General features: G+C 44.4%; 1 protein-coding gene across 10 annotated transcripts in view, besides 2 other annotated features; it reads left to right on the forward strand.

The window, feature by feature from the left end:
• PLEKHG1 (pleckstrin homology and RhoGEF domain containing G1) overlaps window positions 1-24,817 on the forward strand; it is a 243,781-nt gene that overhangs the window by 197,388 nt on the left and 21,576 nt on the right. For 9 of the 10 annotated variants that reach the window (NM_001329804.2, NM_001029884.3, NM_001329805.2 and 6 more), the window contains 8 exons: window positions 3,447-3,597; window positions 7,338-7,469; window positions 11,833-12,015; window positions 12,109-12,204; window positions 12,376-12,462; window positions 20,911-20,944; window positions 22,407-22,502; window positions 23,923-23,961. In NM_001329804.2, the coding sequence (NP_001316733.1) occupies window positions 3,447-3,597; window positions 7,338-7,469; window positions 11,833-12,015; window positions 12,109-12,204; window positions 12,376-12,462; window positions 20,911-20,944; window positions 22,407-22,502; window positions 23,923-23,961 (818 nt within the window). The remainder of the gene's footprint in view (window positions 1-3,446; window positions 3,598-7,337; window positions 7,470-11,832; window positions 12,016-12,108; window positions 12,205-12,375; window positions 12,463-20,910; window positions 20,945-22,406; window positions 22,503-23,922; window positions 23,962-24,817) is intronic. The other variant, NM_001329802.2, reaches the window with a different exon arrangement.
• Window positions 16,088-16,187: an enhancer, noted in NCBI's record as "active region_25277". NCBI's record gives its function as "activates an Ori minimal core promoter by ATAC-STARR-seq in GM12878 lymphoblastoid cells {active_cell/tissue: GM12878}" and the evidence as "EXISTENCE:reporter gene assay evidence [ECO:0000049][PMID:35858748]".
• Window positions 16,428-16,577: an enhancer, noted in NCBI's record as "active region_25278". NCBI's record gives its function as "activates an Ori minimal core promoter by ATAC-STARR-seq in GM12878 lymphoblastoid cells {active_cell/tissue: GM12878}" and the evidence as "EXISTENCE:reporter gene assay evidence [ECO:0000049][PMID:35858748]".

The raw sequence follows: 24,817 nt of genomic DNA on the forward strand, positions 1-24,817 counted from the left end.
GCAGCACGCTGAGCCCTGAGTGTTACTTCTGGAAGGAAAAACAAATAGGTCCCCTGTTCCCCACTGTCAGGAGTAACCCCAGAAAGCCAGTGTGGATTAAAAGACCCGGGATGTTGCTGCATGTGGTGGTGTGCACCTGTAGTCCTAGAGCTACTCAAGAGGCTGAGGCAGGAGGATAGCTTGAGCCCAGGAGTTTGAGGCTACAGTGAGCTACTGTTGCACCACTGCACTCCAGCCCAGGCAACAGAGCAAGATCCTGTCTCTTAAAGACCCAAGAAGCGGCTGGATACAGAGACTTATGCCTGTAATCCTAGCACTTTGGGAGGCCAAGGCAGGCACATCACCTGAGGTCAGGAGTTTGAGACCAACCCGGGCAATATGGCAAAACCCCGTCTCTACTAAAAATACAAAAATTAGTCAGACGTGGTGGCACATCCCTGTAATCCCAGCTACTTGGGATGCTGAGGCAGGAGAATTCCTTGAACCCAGGAGGCGGAGGTTGCAGTGAACTGAGATAGCACCACTGCACTCCAGCCTTGGCAACAGAGCAAGACTCTGTCTCAAAAAAAAAAAAAAAAAAAAAAAAAAAAAAAAAAAAGACCCAAGAAGCTAGAAGTTTAGAGGCTCAACTTACTCTGGCAAATACTTTTCCTTGGAGGACCCCTGCTTTCCCCAGTTTCCCCTAAAAAAAACAAAACAAAATAAATAAATAGAACCACATGCATATTAGAACATTTATTACACATCCTTATCTGTAGACCCACCCATAGTTAATTTACATGGTTTCACTTAAGCAATTTTCTCTCTTAAAGTATTTGTTTCCATCTTAATGCTGAAAACATCAGGCGATTGCAGGATGCCCCAGCTAAATCCCATGGTTCTAAACCAAAAGCCAGCTTGCCTCACACCCTAATTCAGAGAAATCACAGAATCAGCCCTCATCTTCTCCACAAAACTTCTTCCTTAGGGAAGGAAAAAAAACATTCAGATTCTGAAGAATCATCAAAGTTCCAGATCCAATTATGAGAATCTAAAATGATACAGGAGCTTGTTTGGGGAATTATGTTTCTATAAATCTCATTATAAACATATCATTTAAAGAAATAATTCTTAAACTTCCAAAATTGCAAATTCAGAAGATTTTGTGATTTATTAAGAAGAGTACAAAATAAAAACAGCTTCTTTATATGGCAGGCTGCTTCAGAGCCAGGGGAGAGGCAAATCATTTGTGCAAGGACATTTTTAAGAGCTGGTCATTCATGGAGCACCGTCCCAAGCCTGGTGTATATTGGCAGGAAATAGCAAACAATACCCTTGCCTTCAAGCAGTTTCTGTTCTTTTGAAGGTCAGATGCAACTAAATGCAATGGTGGAAGAGCATGTTCTGGAAGATCAAATAAATATAAATTAACACAGGACAAACTCAGTAATGTGTAGTAAAAGCTGAAGGTTAAGGATAATTTTCTGGAGAAAGTTGTCTTTTTTTAGAGTTAGAGTCTCGCTCTGTTGCCCAGGTTGAAGTGCAGTGGCATGTTCTCACCTCACTGCAACCTCTGCCTCCTGGGTTCAAGCAATTCTCTTGTCTCAGCCTCCCAAGTAGCTGGGATTACCGGCACATGCCACCACACCCATCTAATTTTTGTATTTTTAGGAGAGAGGGGGTTTCACCATGTTGGCCAGGCTGGTCTCGAACTCCTGACCTCAAGTGATCCACCCGCCTCGGCCTTCCAAAGTGCTGGGATTGCAGCCATGAGCCACTGTGCCTGGTGAGAAAGTTGTCTTTAAAAAAAAAAAAAATTGAGTCTGACTTTGAAGAAAAGTGTTAGCAGAGAGGTACTCAAAAGTTGTTCTCAGTGAAGAAGACATGTCCATTTCTTGCCCAATTGTGTGGTTTTCATATTCATAGATAAATATTTTATCTTGTCCACTTGTATCCCATCACTTTACTCTCTGAGACCCAAAGTTCCCTTCTCCCACTTAACAAGCCAAAAATGCCAGGTATTTCAGCCCATCTGACAAATTTTCCTTCCCCCTTTGGATCCTGTCTGGTGATATTAAATGTCACAGGCACATCTTGACAGTGTCCACTATCTTCATACCAGTCACACCTCAGTGATTTTGCTGTGAAGAGCCACAAGCTCCCACACTCTGTTCCCCAGGGAGGGACGCAAACCCAGCCAGGTCCTTGTCCTCAGATGCCTGCCTGTACCCAAGACTTCCGGGAACCTGGAGCTCAGCATGCTCCTAATTTGTTGCAGGTTCTTACCCTTGAGCAAGAACCCAAGCCTTTAGGTGGCCAAAGGGCTACAGAGCAGCCGATTCTGACTCTAAAGAACCTTAGAAATGTTCCTAGGTTACATGATGGAGAGTTTTGAAATCTTGACTCAAGGGGAAAATAAATCAGTGTGAATAGATATTTCTCAAAGTAGATTGGCACAAAAGGGATTCTAATGGTTTAATTACGAAACTTCCATTTAACTTCCTTCCTCACAGCCTTATTTTGTTGTTTGGCTCTGTCTGATTTTCTCAATTAATCCTGAAAATGTCACTGACTTAGGGAGAAAAGGGCTGAAATTATTTCCACCTGCTTCCTTCTACATTTTGCGAACGAAAGATTTTTAATTTACACGCGTGTGACTGCACAAGCCGTTAGCTGGCTTTGTGATACGAGCATTGTTTCAACCATTGCCTTAAGATGTTTTCGTCTGTGCTCATCACCTCGGGGGGATCTGGGTTGCGGAAAGAATTCTAACCCACTTTTGGAACACCCTCATCTGAGGCGCACTCCGTAGGAGCAAGACTATCTGGCTTTCCCAGAAGCTGTATCACTTATAAGGTTAACAATTTGGAGGTAGAAAGGGAGACCTCTTCAAAGATTCTCACAGGGAAGTTACCCAGGGGAAGAGGTCTCTAAGCAAGCCTACCACATAGGGTCACAGTTTGTGCATCATATAAAAGGGGCCAGCAGAGGGGGTGATTAAATGCTCTGACGGGGGGCTGGATCTTCCAGCAGGAAGGAACTCCTTTTTCTTAGTACAAAAAGTGCCTAGTCTTTATAATCTAACGCGTGGAAATGGAATACCGACGTGCTGTGTGAGCACTGCACAGAGATACCCAGATTGGGCGCAGCTAGGGGCTAAAATCCCTCTCCAATAACTTTTGCCAAGCCATGGGCCCTGGCACAAGGCCGCGTCTCCTAGAAGGAAGGAACTTGTTACTTAGAAGCCATGAGCCCAGGGTGCCACTGCCAGTGGGTCCGGTGCCTTTTTCTAATTCACCCTCCCAGAGGGAACCCTTTCTCCAATTTGCCTAAAGGCATGCTGATCTGACCACAGCTCTGGAGCTACCCTACTCATTTTAGGGCATTTACACTTGCAATAGCATTTAAAATTTGAATACCCACATAAAGCATTACAATTTAGATAAAAACATGGACTCTTCCTGCAGGTCCGTGGCTGTGCTAACAGAGTGTATGAGGAACAAGATACTGGCCAAATTCTTCAGGGAGCGTCAGGAAACTCTGAAACACTCGCTGCCTCTGGGGTCCTATCTCTTGAAACCAGTTCAGCGGATTCTCAAGTATCATCTCCTTCTGCATGTAAGTTTCTGCCTGGCATGAGCACTTTCCAGGGGATGGGAGTTTTGTGTGTATATATTAAGTTTGGTGGAAAATACCAGAAAATGCTATGGACATATGGAAACATTTCCCACACTCATATTTCACAACTGACTAATCTGCTTTGAGGATTTGGAGATATTTATATTCTAGGCCCGTAGCCCCATTGACAACAGCCAAGAGAAGAGATTAATCTTAGCTCTGATTCTGATGGGGCTTAGGAGTGCCTCGCCCTGTGCACTGACAGTTTCAGGCAGGGAGCTATCATGCGAATGAAAAACAGATTTTGTAATGTTTCCATCAGCCCCGATTCAGTAGGCAATTGGAAGGGAAAGCTATTTGTCATAGATTGGCTTTTGTATGGAGAGCAAAGAGAAGGGGCTGAAAAGGGAGAAGACAGATGAGCAGAGTGATAAGTGATCTCCAAGCTGGGCTTAGCGTCACTTCAGTTATCTCCTCTTATATTATTTTCCACTACTTTTGCAAAATGCAAGAAGGCTTTAGAAACAACGATAATCATAGCTCTTAAATTCTTTTTTCTTTTCTTTTCTTTTTTTTTTTTTTTTTTGAGACAGGGTCTGGCTCTGTTGCCCAGGCTGGCGTACAGTGGTGTAATCACAGATCACTGCAACCTCCGCCTCCTGGGCTCAAGCAATCCTCCTACCTCAGCATCCTGAGTACCTGGGGCTCTAGGTGTGCACCACCATGCCTGGCTAATTTTTTTGTATTTTTGGTAGAGATAGAGTTTCACCATGTTGCCCAGCCTGGTCTCGAACTCCTGAGCTCAAGCAATCCTCCTGCCTGAGCCTCCCAAAGTGCTGGGATTACAGATGTGAGCCACCACGCCCGTCCTCAAATTCTTATTTCTTACCCTCCAAAAAACTGATGCGAATGGAAAAAAAAAGTATTACCGCAAGTAATTTTCATTCTGTAAGTAGGGCTTGCTTACTTTTGTAGCAGGAGAAAGACAGTACAGCAGAGTGGTTAGAAACAGGGCTCTGGGAAAGACTGCCTGGGTCTAAATCTTATACGTTGCCCACATTCACTGTGGCTCACAAGCACTTGATAAAAGTAAGCTATTGTTTTTTATTATTTTTATGATACATTAAAATCCCCTTTTTAAAGGAATTTTAATTCAGAGTTCCTCTCCACGTCAACAGGCCTGCAGTTTATAGGTATCTCTTTTTAAGTGATTCCAGGTTTCTAATTTGGATAATTATTCCAGATTTGTTTGGTTCATATACATTTAAAATTTTGAAAACTTTGTCCATCTTTACTAGCAATTTCTTAGCTTTGTCTGTTTGCCTGGGTAGCTCATCTTTGGAGAATCTTATGTTCTATGAAGTCACATCAGGGATATTATTTTAATTTTTAAATTGATCCGTATGACCTCTTAGATTTAGTGGGATTTATTTGCTAAATCAGTGTCCAAATAACTCTTAAATAATATTTGTCTCAGGACACATCTCTGCTGAATTCTGTTAATATAATGTCTAAGACTGGTGTGTCCCAAAAATCTCTAATATGGTCTTCTAGACAGTAAGATGGCCTTCAGTCAAAAGGAAAGTTTAAGATCTCGGTTAAGCATATGAAACAAGTCAAGATCCTTACAAAAAGTTAATTAACAGGAAAAACAGCCTTTATCCTACATTTTAAGGGCTGGCAATGAAGAAAAAAAACAGTGGTTGGATTAATCCAAAACTAACTTCTGGTTGCTTTTGAAGTGTTTTCTGCTTTTATAATTGATTAGAGGGCTCCCTCTATGTCATTCACATCATTTTTTTTTTTTTTTGAGATGGAGTTTCACTCTGTTGCCAGGCTGGAGTGAAGTGGCACAATCTCAGCTCACTGCAACCTCCGCCTCCCGGGTTCAAGCGATTCTCCTGCCTCAGCTTCCCGAGTAGCTGGGACTACAGGCGCGCACCACCATGCCTGGCTAATTTTTTGTATTTTTAGTAGAGACGGGGTTTCACCATGTTGGCCAGGATGGTCTCGATCTCTTGACCCCATGATCCACCCACCTCGGCCCCTCAAAGTGCTGGGATTACAGGAGTGAGCCACCGTGCCTGGCCCATTCACATCATTTCAAAGTTATGTAGCTATCCATGAAAATCCCCACAGAAATATCCTCTGTACCTCCCAGTCTGTTTACTGATGAGCACAGTTGTCTCTCAGGCTAAAAGAAGAAATCATTATGTTTTTAAATTTGCCATCTAGGATCTTGTTAACAGCTAGTCCAAGCACGGAAAGAAAATGTAAATTCTTTTACAGTTTCTAGCTAGATGAAAAACTTGAGTACTCAGTAAAAGTAAACAAAGATTTACATTGTTACTACAAAATAATGGAACTAATCTTCAAGTTGCACCATAACATTTAACCTCCACCCGTTAGCTGATTATGTATGATAAATGTCACAAGAACCATCTAATTGATTACAATGTTTTCTTACTGTTTTAGGCACTAATATAGGATTACTGTTATTGTTGTCTTTAAAAAGGCAATAGTTTCAATTTAATAAGCACTTATTCACCACCCAGCTCTCTGCTGGGCACTGAGAAGATAAAGAATCAAAGGAACTATATACAATATTCTCTATCCTTAGACTCTTGAGGATCTAGGAACAAGTGTCTTATGTGCTCAAAAGAACTAGAACAAAGATCCTGTCCCTCTCTCACGTTCCTGGGAGTGTGGGCCTCCAGTGGTAAGATGATTGCTAATCTAACATACTTCTGACCATCAGAGAATTGAGTACTGAAACCATGAGATCCTTCTCAACACTCTCAAGGATTGTCTTTAGTCAACTTCATTTGGCCTTTAAAACCTTGACTACAGGAAAATGTGCTAAAATGTCTACTTGCTATGGAGATAATTTTGTAAAGATAGTTTTCGCTATATTTTTGAGTCTGTTAAATATTAAGGTCCTGTATGAAACATTTTGCTTCCTAAATAAATAAGGGAAAAAAATAAGTATGCATTTTATCTTGTGAGAGTGAGAACTATATTTCTGAGAACTGTATAACATTGGCCACCAGGAAGCTCAGAACTCCAGAGCTATAAGAGCAATTTCCACGTCTGTTATAATAACTATAATATCGCTATGAAACTCAATGGGCTACATGTATGTTGTATTTTATCCTGTTTATCCTGGAATCCTATTCCACTTTTATCTTTCCTATCCTTGTTTTTTTTTTTCCCCTTGTCTTACCATTTTGTTGCAGGTATCTCTGGCCTCAAAATCTTAAAGAATGATGCTGGTGTGTAAATATTTTATATATATATATATATATATTTTTTTTTTTTTTTTTTTTTTTTTTTTCGAGGCAGAGTCTCACTCTGTCAGCCAGGCTGGAGTGCAGTGGCCTGATCTCAGCTCATTGCAACCTCTGTCCCCCAGGTTCAAGTGATTCCCTGCCTCAGCCTCCTAAGTAACTGGGACTATAGGCATGTGCCACCACGCCCAGCTAATTTTTGTATTTTTAGGAGAGACAGGGTTTCACCATGTTGGCCAGACTGGTCTCGAACTCTGGACCTCAGGTGATCCACCCACCTGGCCTCCCAAAGTGCTGGGATTACAGGCATGAGCCACCGCACCCAGCTGATAGTGTGTAAATAAATAAGCAAAAATAAAATATAAGGAACTAATCATAGCGGTGCCATTTGTTTCACTGTCTATATGAAAATAAAATGAAAAAAAAAAAAACCCTCGTTCTTTTTTGTTTAAGGAAATAGAAAACCACCTTGATAAGGACACAGAAGGCTATGATGTGGTGCTTGATGCTATAGACACAATGCAGCGAGTCGCCTGGCATATCAATGACATGAAGCGGAAACACGAGCACGCGGTCCGGTTACAGGTGAGCCCGCGAGGTGTCGGTGCCCGGCAGGGTTGCAGGTGTAGTGACTTACTGTTTTCCCAATAAAATATTAAGGCTGCTCAAGTACTGCACTACACTCATCATCTTCAGTGTAGTTCTCCCTGAAAAAAGTTCAGGACATCAGTAATACCCATCATTGTCTAGTATGGCTATTTAAGAGAAAGGGATATTATAACTTTTTTTTTTTTTTGAGATGGAGTTTCGCTCTTGTTGCCCAGGCTGGAGTGCAATGGCACGATCTCCACTCACCACAACCTCTGCCTCTGGGGTTCAAGCAGTTATTCCCCCTCAGCCTCCCGAGTAGCTGGGATTACAGGCATGTGCCACCACGGCCTGCCAATTTTGTATTTTTAGTAGAGACAGGGTTTCTCCATGTTGGTCAGGCTGGTCTCGAACTCCCGACCTCAGGTGATCCGCCTGCCTTGGCCTCCCAAAGTGCTGGGATTACAGGCATGAGCCACCACACCCGGCCGACATTATAACTTTTAAGCTAATTGTTTGCTTATAGCCCCTTTGATGGTCTAAGTTACAATTTTGAGCCTCCCACTTCTATTAATTGCAAATTTAGTAATTCTTATTGAAAGCAACTTTCCCTAAACTATGTAAAGACTTTTTAAGCCTTTATTCCTCTGCCACCAGTTCCTGCAAAATCATGAGGTGGTGCGTGGGTGGTCTTAGGCAGGGGACGCAGAGTAAGGGGAGCCAAGGCTGAACCAGCTCCTTTACAGTCACTTGGGACCTGACCCTCCAGCATGTCATTTCGGTTTCCTTTTTTTTTTTTGGAGACGAAGTTTCACTCTTGTCGCCCAGGCTGGAATGCAGTGGCACAGTCTCAGCTCACGGCAACCTTCGGCTCCCGGGTTCAAGCGATCCTCCTGCCTCAGCCTCCTTGGTAGTTGGGATTACAGGGGCATACCACCACGCCCGGCTCATTTTGTATTTTTAGTAGAGACGGGGTTTCACCAGGTTGGCCAGGCTTGTCTTGAACTCCTAACCTCTGGTGATCCACCTGCCTCAGCCTCCCAAAGTGCTGGGATTACAGATGTGAGCCACCGCACCTGACAGTTTCCTCATTTTTAAAATAAGACAGAGAAGTTTGCTAAAGGCCTATCCAGCACAAACATTTTGAGCCCTGAATCTTAAGGAACTTTTGACAGCTGTTGGGCCAGTGATCATGCCCTGGGCACCTCAATAGATGCACTATTAAAAACAAAACAAGAGGCTGCATGGGCCCAGAGGCCAGTTCCAGGCTCCTGGCTGTCCCTAGAGTGAGATGGAAAAGCCCAAAGTGACTCCACACTATACAGAGTGGCCTTGCCTAACTCGGGAAAAAAGATACCTTATTTGGCTCATAAGTCAGAATAAACTCTGTAGGTTTCAGGTATAGGCAGCCAGAGTGTGGTGTGATGCCACTGACTATCAAAAATCAGAGGAAGATGACATTCTAATCTTCCAGGCTGCTTTTTTTTTTTTTTTTTTTTTTTTGCAACAGCAACAAAAGTTTAATACTTTATCATACAAGTGTTTTGCAGACATAATGTCGGAATCTATTGAATACAGTCATCCCCCCTATCCGCAGTTTCACTTTCTGCAGTTTCATTTGCCCATGGTCAATCAAGGTTAGAAAATTTTTAAATGAGGGCCAGGAGTGATGGTTCATGCCTGTAATCCCTACACTTTGGGAGGCCGAGGCAGGCGGATCACTTGATGTCAGGAGTTCGAGATCAGCCTGGCCAACATGGTGAAACCCTGTCTCTACTGAAAATATAAAAAATTAGCTGGGCGTGGTGGCACACGCCTGTAATCCCAGCTGTTTGGGAGGCTGAGGCAGGAGAATTGCTTGAACCCGGGAGGTGGATGCCATTGCACTCCAGCCTGGGTGACAGAGCGAGACTGTCTCAAAAAAAAAAAAAAAATTAGCCGGGCGTGGTGGTGCACACCTGTAACCCCAGCTACTTGGGAGGCTGAGGTGGGAGAATCACTGGAACACAGGAGGCAGAGAGGTTGCAGTGAGCTGAGATCACATCACTGCACTCTAGCCTGGGAGACAGAGCAAGACTCCATCTCAAAAAAAAAAAAAAAAAAAAAATGAAATGAAAAATTCTGGAAATAAACAATCTGTAAATTTTAAATTGTGCACCATTCTGAGTAGCATGATGAAATCTCACACTGCCTTTCTCCCTCCCACCTGGGACATGAATCACCCCTTTGTCCAGTGTATCCACACTGCCTACGGCCACTCACCTGTTACTCAGTAGCTGGCTTGGTTATCAGATCGACTGTCATGTTTCTCAATGCTTGTGTTCAAGTCAACCTTATTCTACTTCATTATGGCCCCAAAGCACAGAGTAGTGATGCTGACATATTGTTATAATTCTTCTAATTTATTATCAGTTATTGTTGTTAATATCTTTATGCCTAATTTATAAATTAAACTTTATCATAGGTATGTATTTGTAGGGAAAACATAGTATATTTAGAGGTCAATACTATCCCCAGTTCCGGTAATCCACTGGGGGTCTTGGAACATATCCCCTGCAGATAAGAGGGACTGCTGTATTCAGAAATGTCTGAATGGCTGGTTTTTCATACTGTGTGAAGCTGCTTGATATTCTGAAGTCATTACTAAATCAGACTCTGGCTCAAACTAATACTCCATTTCTGTTCATTTCTGTTTTCAACCAGTAAAGTTTTTTGTTGTCTTGTGGGTTCCTTAATTAAACGGTGCTTGTGAATATTTTCATTTTTCAAATAATAAAATCAGCTTCCTTCAAAACACTGATATTCATATACAATAAATCCCACATAAATGTCAAAGTCATGTTAGTTTATTTATCAATTTCCATTAAAAGCACTAAAACGGGGAGTGGGGCAAGTGGGGGTGGTTAATGAATACAAAACTTTACTTAGAGAGAATGAATAAGATCTAGGCCAGGCGCCGGGGCTCACACCTATAATCCCAGCACTTTGGGAGGCCAAGTGGATCACCCGAGATTGGGAGTTTGAGACCAGCCTGGCCAACATAGTGAAACCCCATCTCTTCTAAAAATACAAAAATTAACCAGGCATGGTGGTGGGTGCCTATAATCCCAGCTACTTGAGAGGCTGAGGCAGGAGAATCGCTTGAACCCAGGAGGGAGAGGTTGCAGTGAGCCGAGATTGTGCCACTGCACTCCAGCCTGGACAACAGAGCGAGACTCTGTCTCAAAAAAGAAAAAAGAAAAAGAATGAATAAGATCTAGCATTTGATAGCACAACAGGAGGATTACAGTCAACAGTAATTTATAAAATAACTGAAAGTATAATTGGAATGTTCGTAACACAAAGAAATGATAAATGCTGGAGGTGACGGAGGCCCATTTACCCTGATGTGTTTATTATGCATTGTATGCCTGTCAAAATATATCACGTACCCCATAAATATATACACCTACTGTGTACCCATAAAATTTTAAAATTTTAACAAAAAAAGCACTAAAACATAAGTTAGGGGCAAAGAAAGGTTCATTTCCTTTCCCTGAGTAAGTAAATTTAAACTCAAGAAATTTCTGAGAAAATGATGTGGGTGATTTTATATAGGCTTTAGTTTTGAATTACTTATGTGTGGTATGAACTTCAGTATCCGGAAGAAAGTCTTCAAGTCAACAGCTCTGAAGGAGTTTTTTTTTTTCCCAGAGAGGAGGGGTGAGAAAAATCAAGGGAAGGGGCCGGGTGCGGTGGCTCACTTCTATAATCCCAGCACTTTCAGAGGTATAGGTGGGCAGATCACTTGAGGTCAGGAGTTGAAGACTAGCCTGGCCAACATGGCAAAACCCCATCTCGACTAAAAATGCAAAAAAATTTAGCCAGGCATGGTGATGGGCACCTGTAATCCCACCTACTCAGGAGGCTGAGGCAGGAGGATCGCTTGAACCGGGAGGTGGAGGTTGCAGTGAGCCCTGATCGCGCCACTTCCCTCCAGCCTGGGTGACAGAGCGAGACTCTGTCTCAAGAAAACAAAACAAAACAAAGAAAATCAAGGGAAAGAGGCCATACTGGTGGCCCCTGGACCTGGCTTTGGAACGATGTAAGGGCTGCTGTGAGCCACAGCATGGCATGATTAAGGAATGGAAATAAGTAATTAGCAGCTTGTCAGCTAACAGCCTGATTCATTGCTGTTAACCCTTAAGTGGCACCACTTGTAAATGCAGATTTATGTCATAGACCATCAGATACCACGTAGATAGTTAGACCCCCTCAGGGACGATTTGGCACCATTCTTGAGGCTCAACAGATGGGCCACCAAGCCCTTGGTGCCTGGCTTCTGCCTCCTGTAAATGCCATGGCCCATTCCCTTTCTCAGGAGATACAGAGTTTGCTCACTAACTGGAAGGGGCCAGACCTGACCAGCTACGGGGAACTGGTGCTTGAGGGAACCTTCCGCATCCAGCGAGCCAAGAATGAGCGGACGCTCTTCCTCTTCGACAAGCTGCTGCTCATCACGAAGAAGAGAGATGACACGTTTACATACAAAGCTCACATCCTGGTAGGTCTGCACGCTGGCCATGGGCAGGGACTCAGATCCCCAGTTCTGTTCCCTCCTGAGTGTGCCTCACCCTCTCTGCTCTCTCTGCTCTAGTGTGGCAACCTCATGCTTGTGGAGGTGATTCCAAAAGAGCCGCTCAGCTTCAGCGTCTTCCACTACAAGAATCCCAAGCTGCAGCACACAGTCCAGGTAGCAGCCGGGCCCTGGCCTCTCCGCAAGGCCCCTTTGTGTAATGATGAGTGCTGTGTACCATGTGGCTTTTTGAGAGCGTTCTGGCCACATGGTCATTTCCCATCTCATCAGAGGGTCCTGTGGGTGGTGGAATCAAGTTGTCTGACTGTCTACATCTCGTCTTGGCAGGCCAAATCCCAGCAAGACAAACGCCTCTGGGTTCTGCACCTAAAGAGACTGATTCTGGAGAACCATGCAGCCAAGATTCCAGCTAAGGTAGGACACTGAATAATGCACAGTGAAATGGGAGAGAGATACAAGAATCATTTGAACCTGGGAGGTGGAGGTTACTGTGAGCCGAGATCACATCATTGAACTCCAGACTGGGCGACAGAGTGAGACTGTCTCAAAATAAAAACAAAGAGACTGGGTCAAAAAAAAAAAAAAGAGTTTAGAATTAGAATCTGGGAGTGACAACGGTTAATCTGATCATTTAATTACTAATGAAGCCCAGCAAGGCATCCTGATAGGATAAATGTTCAACTTCATAATAAAGAGGCTGGCATGTGGCTCATGCCTGTAATCCCAGCACGTTGGGAGGCCAAGGCAGGTGGAACACTTGAGCCTAGGAGTTCGAGACCAGCCTGGGCAACAAAGTGATACCCCCATCTCTACAAAAAATATAAAAGTTAGCACCCGGCATGATGGCACGCACCTGTAGTCCCAGTTACTCTGGGAGACTGAGGTGGGAGGATCACCTGGGTCCGGGAGGCGGAGGTTGCAGTGAGCTGAGATTGCATCACTGCACTCCAGCCTGGGTGACAGGGTCCAGACAGGGTCTCACTCTGTCACCCAGGCTGGAGTGCAGTGGCGCAATCTCCACACAAGAAAAAGCAAACTGCAACCTCTTGTGCCTCAGCCACCCGAGTAGCTGGGACTACAGGTGCGCACCACCACACCTGGCTAAATTTTGTATTTTTAGTAGAGACAGCAAGACCCTGTCTCAAAAAAAAGAAAGAAAGAAAGAAGGAAGGAAGGAGGGAAAGAAAGAAAGAAAAAGAAAGAAAGAAAGAAAGAAAGGAAGAAAGGAAGGAAAGAAAGAAAGAAAATTGAGAGATAGAATATATAGGAACTACATCTCAGCTAAACCAGCCATTAACATCAAAAAGACTCACATGGGGCCAGGCACAGTGGCTCACTTTGGGAGGCACTAGCACCTTGGGAGGCTGAGGTGGGCAGATCACCTCAAGTCAGGAGTTAAAGACCAGCCTGGCCAACATGGTGAATCCCCATCTCTACTACAAATACAAAAATTAGCTGGGTGTGGTAGCACGTGCCTGTAGTCCCAGCTACTCAGGAGGCTGAGGCAGGAGAATCGCTTGAACCCAGGAGGCGGAGGTTGCAGTAAGCCGAGATCGTGCCATTGCACTCCAGCCTGGGTGACAGAGCAAGATCCTGTCTCAAGAAAAAAAAAAAAAGATTCACATGAATTGCAGGCTCTGTGGAGGTGGTGGTGTTTTTCCTTTTGGGGCTTAAAAGAAGATCAAGTTATGAGAATTATTCAAAGGTGCATGAAGCACCTATGGGTGTAAAGCTGTGCTGGGTCCCATGAGGGTGCTCGGGAGACAAGATACAGATTCGGCCAAGAAGGAATCTGTAGATGGGGAGCCAGCTGCCAAGCCATGAACCGTTTGCCAACCATGAAGACATAACAGAGTATAACCCAGGTGTTGTGGAAGAATAAAGTGTTCAATTGCGTTGAGTGGAGAGAGGAAGGAAAACATCTTTTACCTCAGTCTTAAAGGATAGGGAATGTTTTTTTTTTTTTAAAGACAGGATCTTACTCTGTCGCCCAGGCTGGAGCACAGTGGTGCAAACATGGCTCACTGCAGCCTTGACCTCCTGGGCTCAAGACATCCCACCACCTCAGCCTCCCAGAATAGCTGGGACCACAGGCTTGTGCCACCACACCAAGCTAATTTTTGTATTTTTGGTAAAGGTGTAGTCTCATCATCTTGCCCAGGCTGGTTTCAAACTCCTGGGTTCAAGTGATCTGCCTGCCTCAGCCTTTCCAAAGTGTTGGGATGACAGGCATGAGCCACTGTGCCCAGTCTTAGGAATATTTTTATTAAGTGGGAAAAAAGGAATTAAGGAAACCAGACCTAGAGACCTGCATTAAAAAAAAAAAAAAAGAGAGAATGTATGCGCTGTGTTCAGGGCGCACAGACGGTGCCAGGATGGGAGGGCTGAGTTCTCAGGGACTGAGGCAGGGGCTGGGGCAGGGACGGGAAGGGCAGGAGCCCCTGGAGGGCTGTGAGCATGTGCTCTGAGGAATCTGGACGCGTTCACACTGGGAAATTACTGCAGGCTTTGGAGGAAGGGGAGATGGCGCAGTCAGTCCTGTGTTCTGAGAGTGTAACTTTGGGGACAAGGTGACAAATAAGTGGCAGGAGTGAGGTTGGAGGCTGGAGAAGATAGTAACCCACCACCATGGCCTAGAAAGGAGCTGAGCAGTGCTGCCGTGGAGCCACAGCGACAGAGGGAACAAATGCAGAAAGTGCCACTGAGGCAGGAGGCAGGATTTTGCCCACTAAAAGTCAAGGCTGAGTCAGGGGTTGAAGGAGAGCATGGTACTGTGAGTTCTGAGACAGGCAGGGAGAGGAACCTGTGAGATGGGAGTGAGAGAGAGGAGCCCTCTGCTCTCACTGGCACCCGTGCTGCTGGGCAGGGTCAGCCACAGGTGGAAATTCAGGTCTTGGAAGCTAAGGATCAGGAGACTCTTGCTAGAGGCAGTAATTGAAGCCCTAAGGTTTAATAAGATGGCCCACAAAAATGTGCAAAGGAAAGATGAACCCTTGGGAATCCCAACATCTAAGTGATCAGCAAGCGGGTGGGGGGATTTGGAGAACAGCCAAAGAAAGATTGAAAGAGTAGCAGAGGAGGCAGGGAGGATGTCTGAGGAGAAGGCACTGCGCTAACAAGGAAAAAGCACATCTCAGAGATGGGGGAGACACAGTCTCAAAGGCTGCCGAGGTCAAGGAGATTTAAACAGAAAAGCAGATTTTATATTTGGCAACTAAGAGAAAAGGGAGAGATCACAGTGGGTTGCAGAAAAAGGGGGATTAAGAAGGAACGGAATGGGTATAGACTTTTTTATATGTAAAGTTCACAAAAGGAAGAAAAAATGATAGTTTGGAGAGAAAGGCAAGAGCAAAGCAAGACTTCTCGTCTGGCTCGAATGCCGAGTCCATGAGCAGATGGCAGGGAAGGAGGAGGAAGGTGGGAGAGGAGACAGTGGCTCACTTCTTGTTGGAACGGGGCCTGGGGAGGTGGGAAGGAAGAGGATGGGACACACAGGAATAGGGGCTCATCTTGGAAAGGGCTGGAAGCATCTCTCTGAACCAAGGGAGAAAAAGATGAAAGACAGAGGAACTTTGAGGTGGACTTGGGGGAAGACAAAGGGTTCGATTTCACTCGTGCAGATAATAAAGTCATCTGCTGAGTGAGTGAAGCAGAGAGCAGGGGTGTCTGAGGGAAAGTGGAAAGGATCAGAAGAACACTTGCTGGCCGGGCGCGGTGGCTCACACCTGTAATCCCAGCACTTTGGGAGGCGGAGGCGGGCAGATCACGAGGTCAGGAGATCAAGACCATCCTGGCTAACACGGTGAAACCCCATCTCTACTAAAAATACAAAAAATTAGCTAGGCGTGGTGGCGGGTGCCTGTAGTCCCAGCTACGCGGGAGGCTGAGGCAGGAGAATGGCGTGAACCCGGGAGGCGGAGCTTGCATTGAGCCGAGATCACGCCACTGCACTACGGCCTGGGCGACAGAGTGAGACTCTGTCTCAAAAAAAAAAAAAAACAAAATGGACCAGTCACTAGAGATGACTAGAATAGCCTGTGAAAGACATCAAAGACCCAACTGAGGCTGGCCCCCATGAATCAGTGTGATGACGTCATTTCAAAATCTGCTCAGCAGCTTGGAAACTACTGGTGAAAACCGTGGTGTGTGTGGGTTCCTCCAGGTTGGGAACCGGCAGAGCTGGTAGGGGAAGGTTCCCAGGGCGGGGGTGGGGAGGGTGCCAGTGAGCACGCAGTTGCAGTAATTGGGCATGACATTAGGCTGAGTGAAGAGGAAAACCAGCTGGCGACAGAGGCGTGGGGTGAGGGACTGCAGTATTGTCATAAAGCCCGGTTCAGCAGGACTTAATGTGAGAGAGAAGGAAATACCCTAATCTGTAATTGAAGAAGGGACTTTTGGAGTCCTGCCTTAGAGGTGGGACGGTTTTGAGTGTGATCAGGTTCTGGAGGTGGCTCTGATTCTGTGCTGCTGCTCTGGAGTGGAGGAAAAGGTCATTAGAAAGTGGTCAAGGAACTAGGGTGGTGGGTGGATTATTCACATGGATGGTGAAACAGTCCAAGTTGGGGCTGGGAGGAGTGAGGTGGAGCAGACAATGGGATGATGATCATGAAAATTGAACTGGGTGGAAAATAAGGGCTGAGATTTCTGAGAAAGGGGACAGTCTGTTTTGTTCTCTGTATATTTTGACAAGCATTTGAAGCTTGTTCTCAGGACTGCCAGCAATGATTTGGTCCTCAGGAAATGAATGTGCATAGGTGTGGACTTGGACCTAAGCATGAGTTTTCATTTCGTCAGGGTGTTATGAGATGAAAGGGAGCTCATGCAGAGAGGGGACTGCATTTTCTTTATGATTAGTCATTTTGTTGCTGGCCTGGTGCCTTAGAATGCCCTTCTGAGCAATGGCAGAGTATCTTTGATGGGCCCCACCCATTGTTTACCTGTCTGCTGGGAAAATCAAAATTGCTAACAAGATTCTGAAAGGCAGTTACAAAATGAGACCCCCTTACATACCTGTCTTTCTCCCACGCTAGGCGTGTGTGCCTCAGGAAGTTCCCTTTAAGTATTCAAATGGTTAATATAGTCAATATAACATCGTACTTTCTCCCCAAGTTGTCGATCCTTTCTATCTAAAAACATCTTTTCAGTTACAACTTATTGAGCATACACACTGTGCTGAGTACTTTATATTCTTATTTCACCCTCACCAAAATATGTTATGAGGTAGTTCTTATTCTTCCCATTCTAGAAAAAATAAAAACAGAGGCTGAGAGACATTAAATAAACTGCCCAAGTTTATATAACTAGTACATGACCAAGCCTGGATTGGTCTATCTGGCTCCAAAGAGCATCCTAACCACATTATTCCCACTGGCAATAAAAACACCTTTTTTTGTTTTGTTTTGTTTTGAAACAGCGTCTCACTCTGTCACCCAGGCTGGAGTGCAGTGGTGCAATCTCCATACAAGAAAAAGCACACTGCCACCTCCACCTTCTGGGTTCAAGTATTCTTGTGCCTCAGCCACCCGAGTAGCTGGGACTACAGGCGCACACCACCACACCTGGCTAATTTTTGTATTTTTAGTAGAGATGAGGTTTCACCATGTTGGCCAGGCTGGTCTCGAACTCCCGGCCTCAAGTGATCCACCTGCCTCAGCCTCTCCCAAAGTGCTAGGATTACAGGCACAAGCCACCACACCCAGCCTCAAACACGCTTGTCTAATATACTTTATTCACTATAATGTAATCATAATTTTCTATTTAAGCAGGATTATCATTAAAGTGAACTTTCCACATCTTTCCTCGAGATTATTTCTTATTTTCCTAAAGTTTTCAAAATGTATTTCTATTATTTCTGTGAAATGAATGCATAGTGGGAAATTTTAAACATCAAGAAATGTATCACCAGTCTAATAATGTCAACACAGCTGTGGGAAACTCATTAGTTACAGCCTCCCAGCTGCCTTCCGTTCTTTTAATTCAATGATGGTCCTTGGCTGACACCTAGTGGAAATCCTGGAAACAGTACTTTAAAAATTAAATGTCCAGACAAAAAAAAATTCTTGAAGTCAGCTTTACAGATACCAGGGAACTTCTTGGAAATAGCCATATTGCCCATTAGTATATGTGGTAAATAAATTTAACTCTTCTCCAAATTAATTGAAAATAAAGGTGAAGGTATTTTGCATTTTATATATTAGTATGTTTCTGTAATTGCACTTCCCAGAGAGAGACTGAGCTAACATTTGTGTTTGCAAGTAATTTCAACTCATAATCTCAAACTCTGAATGTATGAGAGAGATAGCTATCAGGTTACAAAAATTGAAGCATTTGTTTTCTCTAAGGTGACTGTGTTGAGGCTCCCCCAAGCCCCACACTTTTTCACTAAACGTGATCGCCACTTAGCCGAAATATTTGTACTGGGATATCACAGATGGTAGCAAAATAGAGTAAAATTATTTTAAAAGTTATTTTTAGCATAGTGTTTTGTAGGTTAAATTATACTACCCTTAAAAAATGAAAATAACTTTAAAGAGGCAAGAAAGGCTACAATCCCCTAGGACAGTGGTCTTCAACCTTTTGGGCACCAGGGATTGGTTTTGTGGAAGATAATTTTTCCACGGATGGAGGCAGGGGGAGGCTTTTGGGATGATGAAAGCACATTACGTTTATTGTGCACTTTATTTCTATTACTACATGGTAATATATAATGAAATCGTTCTACAGCTCACCATAATGTGGAATCAGTGGGAGCCCTGAGCTTGTTCTAGCCCTGAGCAACTAGACAGTCCCATCTGGGGGTGATGGGAGACAGCGACACCCCAAGTGTGTTGCTTATGTCCAGTCTGCTCTCATCTTATTTTGGTCACTGTCACTGCAGAAAACCCTGCTTCACAAAGATAGGATGTTGGAAATGGAAGCAGGCTTTTGTGCTTTTGTGGCAATCTCAGGATATTCGCCTGGACTTTAATCCAGAATGTAAGGAGGTTTGAAGTTGTCTCAAACATACTTTTTTTTTTTTTTTTTTTTTTTTTTTTTTTGAGATGGAGTCTCATTCTGTTGCCTAGGCTGGAGTGCAGTGGTGCTGCAACCTCTGCCTTCCCAGGTTCAAGCAATTCTCCTGCCTCAGCCTCCTGAGTAGCTGGGATGTCAGGCACACACCACCACGCACAGCTAATTTTTGTATTTTTAGTAGAGACGGTTTCACCGTGTTGGTCAGGCTGGTCTTGAACTCCTGACCTCGTGATCTGCCCGCCTCAGCCTCTCAAAGTGCTGAGATCATAGGCGTGAGATACCACGCCCGGCCTCAAACATACTTTTAAGGCCACCAGATGCAGCTGTACAATTGAAGTACATCAACTCACTTGCCACGATAAAGCCTGCCACCAGATGCAGCTTAATTGCTCCTTGACACTCACTGACAGGGTTTTGATATGAATCTGCAAGCAATTGATTTATTATGGTCTCTGTGCAGTCAAACCTCTCTGCTAACGTTAATCTGCTCCTCAGTGCTAGCATCACTGCCTCAGCTCCACTTCAGATCATCAGGCATTAGATTCTCACAAGGAGTGCTGCAACCTAGATCCCTCGCATGCATAATTCACAGTAGGGTTCACACTCCTATGAGTATCTAATGCTGCCACTGATCTGATAGGAGGCAGAGCTCAGGCTGTAATGCGAGCCATGAGGAGCCACTGTAAATCCAGACGAAGCTTCTCTCGCTTGCCCACCACTCACCTCCTGCTGTGCGGCCCAGTTCCTAACAGGCTACGAACTAGTACTAGTCTGTGGCTCGGGGGTTGGGGACCCCTGCCCTAGGAGAGTGGGTGGAACTCACCAGTTGAGCTGATCATTGAATCCTAATGACCATTCTGAAAGAGAGGCTCCCTGATCCCACTGTCCAGTTGAGCTCGGAGAGCACCCACCTAGTGAAGTGCCTGAGCTGGGATCACAGACATTGTCCTTCAGGGCCGTCTCACTCTGGGAGATTCTGGGGCACACAGAAGAGATGGGAGGTGCAGGGAGTTGGGGAAACAGAGAGACTTAGCTCATGATAATCACAGCATTCTGCAGGAGGAAAGACAACAATGAGAGGAAACTTCCAGCAGCCATTTTGCAATTAACTCAAAATAGTTACAAGGCCATAGTGTCATGGTGAGGGCTGGTGATAAAGATACCAGGCTCCGTGCCTTGAGCTTTTGAGTCAGTAGATCAGGGTTGGGTGGCAAGAATCTGCATTTTTTTTTTTTTTTTTTTTTGAGACGGAGTCTTGCTCTGTCGCCCAGGCTAGAGTGCAGTGGCTCAATCTCGGCTCACTGCAACCTCCGCTTCCTGGGTTCAAGCGATTCTCCTGCCTCAGCCTCCCTGTTAGCTGGGATTACAGGCACCCGCCACCATGCCTGGCTAATCTTTGTATTTTTAGTAGAGACGGGGTTTCACCATATTGGCCAGGCTGGTCTTGAACTCCTGACCTTGTGATTGTGATCTGCCCGCCTCAGCCTCCCAAAGTGCTGGGATTACAGGCGTGAGCTACCGCGCCCAGCCGAGAATCTGCATTTTTAATAAGCTGGCCAATGAGTGCTGATGATCAGCCAGGCTTCGGAACCAGCCTCCCTCCCTCCTCTTTCACAGGATTGGGGGTGCAGTCTTAGCTCCGGTGCCTTGATGGTGTAGCAGCTATTACCCACTTGAGGGCGCTCATCTGCTTGAATTCCCTGCACTGTGTGTAAATGCTTAACATAAATAGCGAGTTTTTAAACGTTTTTAAAAATCTATTTATTCAGGTGGGATAAGATCTGTGTTGAGATTTGGAGTTTAAAGAAAAAAAAAGCAATTGGAATTACAGCTCTACTTTCTCTCTTTCAGGCCAAGCAAGCAATCCTTGAAATGGATGCCATTCGTAAGTTTTATTTCCTTAAAACAATTTGAAATTTCATTGTCTGTTTGTATCTATCACATTTTCTATCTTAAAGTTCATGAAAATGTCGATTGTTAGAAAATAGTATCTCTCTATTCACTGTTTTCACAAATTGGGTAGACAGTATAATCCCTTCTAAGCACATTGACTTGTTTCTACATTGGTTCTCCCAGGTTTATCTGAGTCCCTTGATGGCTGGCCACTGTTGGGGTTTCTGCATCAACTAACAATGTCAGTTATGTCTCCAGGGTCAACTCTACCCCTACCCCTGCCCCAACCTCTACCACCACCAAAAACCAGAGCTTAACAATGCATTTCTCACTTCATCCCTAACAAAATGTTGATTATCTGCAAGAATCGCAATCACTTCGTAGTATTGGTTTTCCTGATGCAGCAGAAACTTCTAAAATCACAACCACCCCACATATGTGCATATATTTCTAGGCTTACAAAAGCAGGAGAGAATAAATGTTACAGGTCCTTCCTATTAAATAAGACCTTATTCAACAGCAGTTATCACATCTTTGTTATTTTTCAGATTAAATAGAATAAAAAGAGAAAACAGTGGCTTTAAATGCAGTCAGGTCTGCTGGAAACTTGTACTGAAAACACTTCTACTTTACTTAACCCTTTCATAAGACCTTACTTCGAGGAATCAAGTGCAAACGTTGATTCCCTTCCCTCCAGCCTGGCACTTGTTAACTCCCCAGGGGGAAAAGCAGCATCAGCAAAGTGGAAACAGGTGCATTCCCACCATCGCTGCAGCTGAGGCTCCCATCTCGCATCCAACAGACCCGAGAAATGATGCCCAGAGCTCCCCAGCGGAGTGCTAGGCTGTATTCTCTAGACATCAACATTTTACCTGCAGAAATTGCCTTCGGATTTTTTTTTTTTTTTTTTGGCCGGGTGTGGTGGCTCACGCCTGTCATCCCAGCTAATAGACTCCTAGAAGTCCCAATGTAAACAAAAAGCCCTGAGATACATATACAGCAGCAATTATGGGAGGAGGATCATATCCATGTCAGATGAAAAAGAATAAATCCATATAGGCCGGGCATGGTGGCTCACACCTGTAATCCCAGCACTTTGGGAGGCCGAGGTGGGTGGATAACCTGAGGTCAGGAGTTCAAGACCAGCCTGGCCAACATGTTGAAACCCCATCTCTACTAAAAATACAAAAATTAGTCAGGCATGGTGGCACGCGCCTGTAGTCTCAGCTTCTCGGGAGGCTGAGGCAGGAGAATCACTTGAACTTGGGAGGTGGAGGTCAGCAGTGAGCCGAGATCATGCCACCGCACTTCAGCGTGGGTGACAGAGCAAGACTCTGTCTCAAAAATAATAATAATAATAATAATAAATCCATATAAATCTACACTAGCCATAACCATTTTCTGAGAAGCCCCTGACACCACAGTCCCACTGATGCACGTGGTTATCTTTACAGATCATCCAGGCTTCTGTTACAGTCCTGAGGGAGGGACGAAAGCACTGTTCGGCTCTAAAGAAGGTTCTGCTCCATATCGGCTGAGAAGAAAATCTGGTAAGTAAGATGTTGTCATAAAAATTTAATTCTAATGGGGGACTGGCAATGAAAGTCCCTTTGAGTCTGACAAAAGGGAATGTTCTGTCTGGTTTCTCAGCTCACTGCCGGTCTGAATACATTTGCGGCTGCCTTAAGATGGGACTCATGAGCTTTTGATCTAAAACTCTTTTCTCTGTAATCCTAGCACTTTGGGAGGCCGAGGCAGGTGGGTCACCTGAGGTCAGGAGTTCGAAACCAGCCTGGCCAACTGGAGAAACCACATCTCTAGTAAAAATATAAAAGTTAGCCAGGCGTGGTGGTGTGCGCCTATAATCCTAGCTACTTGGGAGGCTGAGGCAGGAGAATCGCTTGAACCCAGGAGACGGAGGTTGCAGTGAGCCAAGATCGTGCCACTGCACTCCAGCATGGGCGACAGAGTGAGACTCTGTCTAAAAAAAAAAAAACCTCTTTTCTACTTAATGTTTCCCAGTGACTATCAAGCATGCCAGTCAACTAATTTTGCTTTGTACATCTTACCATTGACATGCAGATACTTAAGCTGTATTTGCTGTTGCTAATGAAAAATCACGTCCTATGAGTGACACACACAAAAGATTATCCAAAGCTAAAATTTTAATTCATATTTGCTGCACCAGACTCCATGAACTATTGTCTTAGTTCAGACAGGTTTGGGGTTTTATTTGAAGCAGTCTTTATTCATTACCCACTTTATGCTTTGCTAAGGACTAGGAATGCAAGGATAAATAATCCACGTGACTCCTGCTTGCAAGGAGCTCATGGTGCGAGAGACAAAAAATGCAAATAAGGCCGGGCGCGGTGGCTCACACCTGTAATCCCAGCATTTCGGGAGGCTGAGGTGGGAGGATCACCTGAGGTCAGGAGTTTGAGACCTGTCTGGCCAACATGGTGAAACCCTATCTCTACTAAAAATACAAAAATTAGCCTGGCATGTTGGCAGATACCTGTAATCCCAGCTACTCGGGAGGCTGAGGCAGGAGAATTACTTGAACCTGGGAAGCAGAGGTTGCAAGGAGCCGAGATCGTACCATTGCACTCCAACCTGGGAGACAAGAGTGAATCTCAGTCTCCAAAAAAGAATGTACAATTGAACATCATCAGCTTATAGGTGTTAGTGAAGCTGAGGAAGCTGCTCTGCTACTGACAGGACTGAAAAAGTCAGATTTTGCTTTTCTGTTGGGTGACTCCTGATAACACAGCATAACATTTATTCTACCATTTTAGCAGAGTGAATGTCTTGCTCCTGTGTATCTCTGAGCAATGGGGATTTTGTTAAATTTGATACAAAAGTTATAGAGCTCTGTTAATCTGTCAATAGGCTCATAATCCTCTTATAAAGAATAAAGAAAAAGGTTTGATTTGGTTTTGCCAATGATGCTGGCTTTGTTTTGTCTCCCAGAACCTTCCTCACGGTCACATAAAGTTTTGAAGACCAGTGGTAAGTCGTAAAATATATTTTCCTGTTTCATTCTTGTTGATATTCACTAAATCAAACCACACAAAAATAAATAAATACCAGATAAATTACATATTGACAGATTTGATTTGATTACAAAAAGATTAACTTCTGTAAATAAAAGTGTCCCATTATAAAATATATAGTCAAAGCCAGGCACAGTAGCTCACGCCTGTAATCCCAGCACTTTGGGAGGCCGAGGCGGGCGGCTCTGTTGAGGCCAGGACTTCGAGACTAGCCTGGCCAACATGGTGAAACCCCGTCTCTACTAAACATACAAAAATTAGCCAGTCCCAGTGGCTCGTGCCTGTAATCCCAGCTACTTGGGAGGCTGAAGCAGGAGAATCGCCTGAACCTGGGAAGCAGAGGTTGCAGTGAGCCGAGATCACGCCATTGCACTCCAGCCTGGGCAACAGAGTGAGACCGTGTCACAAAAAATAATAATAATAAAATTTAAAATAAAATATACAGTCAAATGACATAAAATACTTGTAATATATTTGACAGGCATAAAAAGATTATTATTCCTATTATATAAAGAAACTCCATACATCAAAAAGAAAAGACAGAGGACTCTTTTATTTTTTTTTTTATTTTTTTATTTTTTGAGACAGAGTCTTGCTCTTGTTGCCCAGGCTAGAGTGCAATAGCGCGATCTCGGCTCACCTCAACCTCTGCCTCCCAGGTTCAAGTGATTCTCCTGCCTCAGCCTCCCGAGTAGCTGGGATTACAAGCATGTGCCACCGCGCCTGGCTAATTTTGTATTTTTAGTAGAGATGGGGTTTCTCCATGTTGGTCAGGCTGGTCTCGAACTCCCAACCTCAGGTGATCCACCCGC

Source organism: Homo sapiens, chromosome 6, assembly GCF_000001405.40.
Source record: "Homo sapiens chromosome 6, GRCh38.p14 Primary Assembly".
Taxonomy (NCBI): Eukaryota; Metazoa; Chordata; class Mammalia; order Primates; family Hominidae; genus Homo; species Homo sapiens.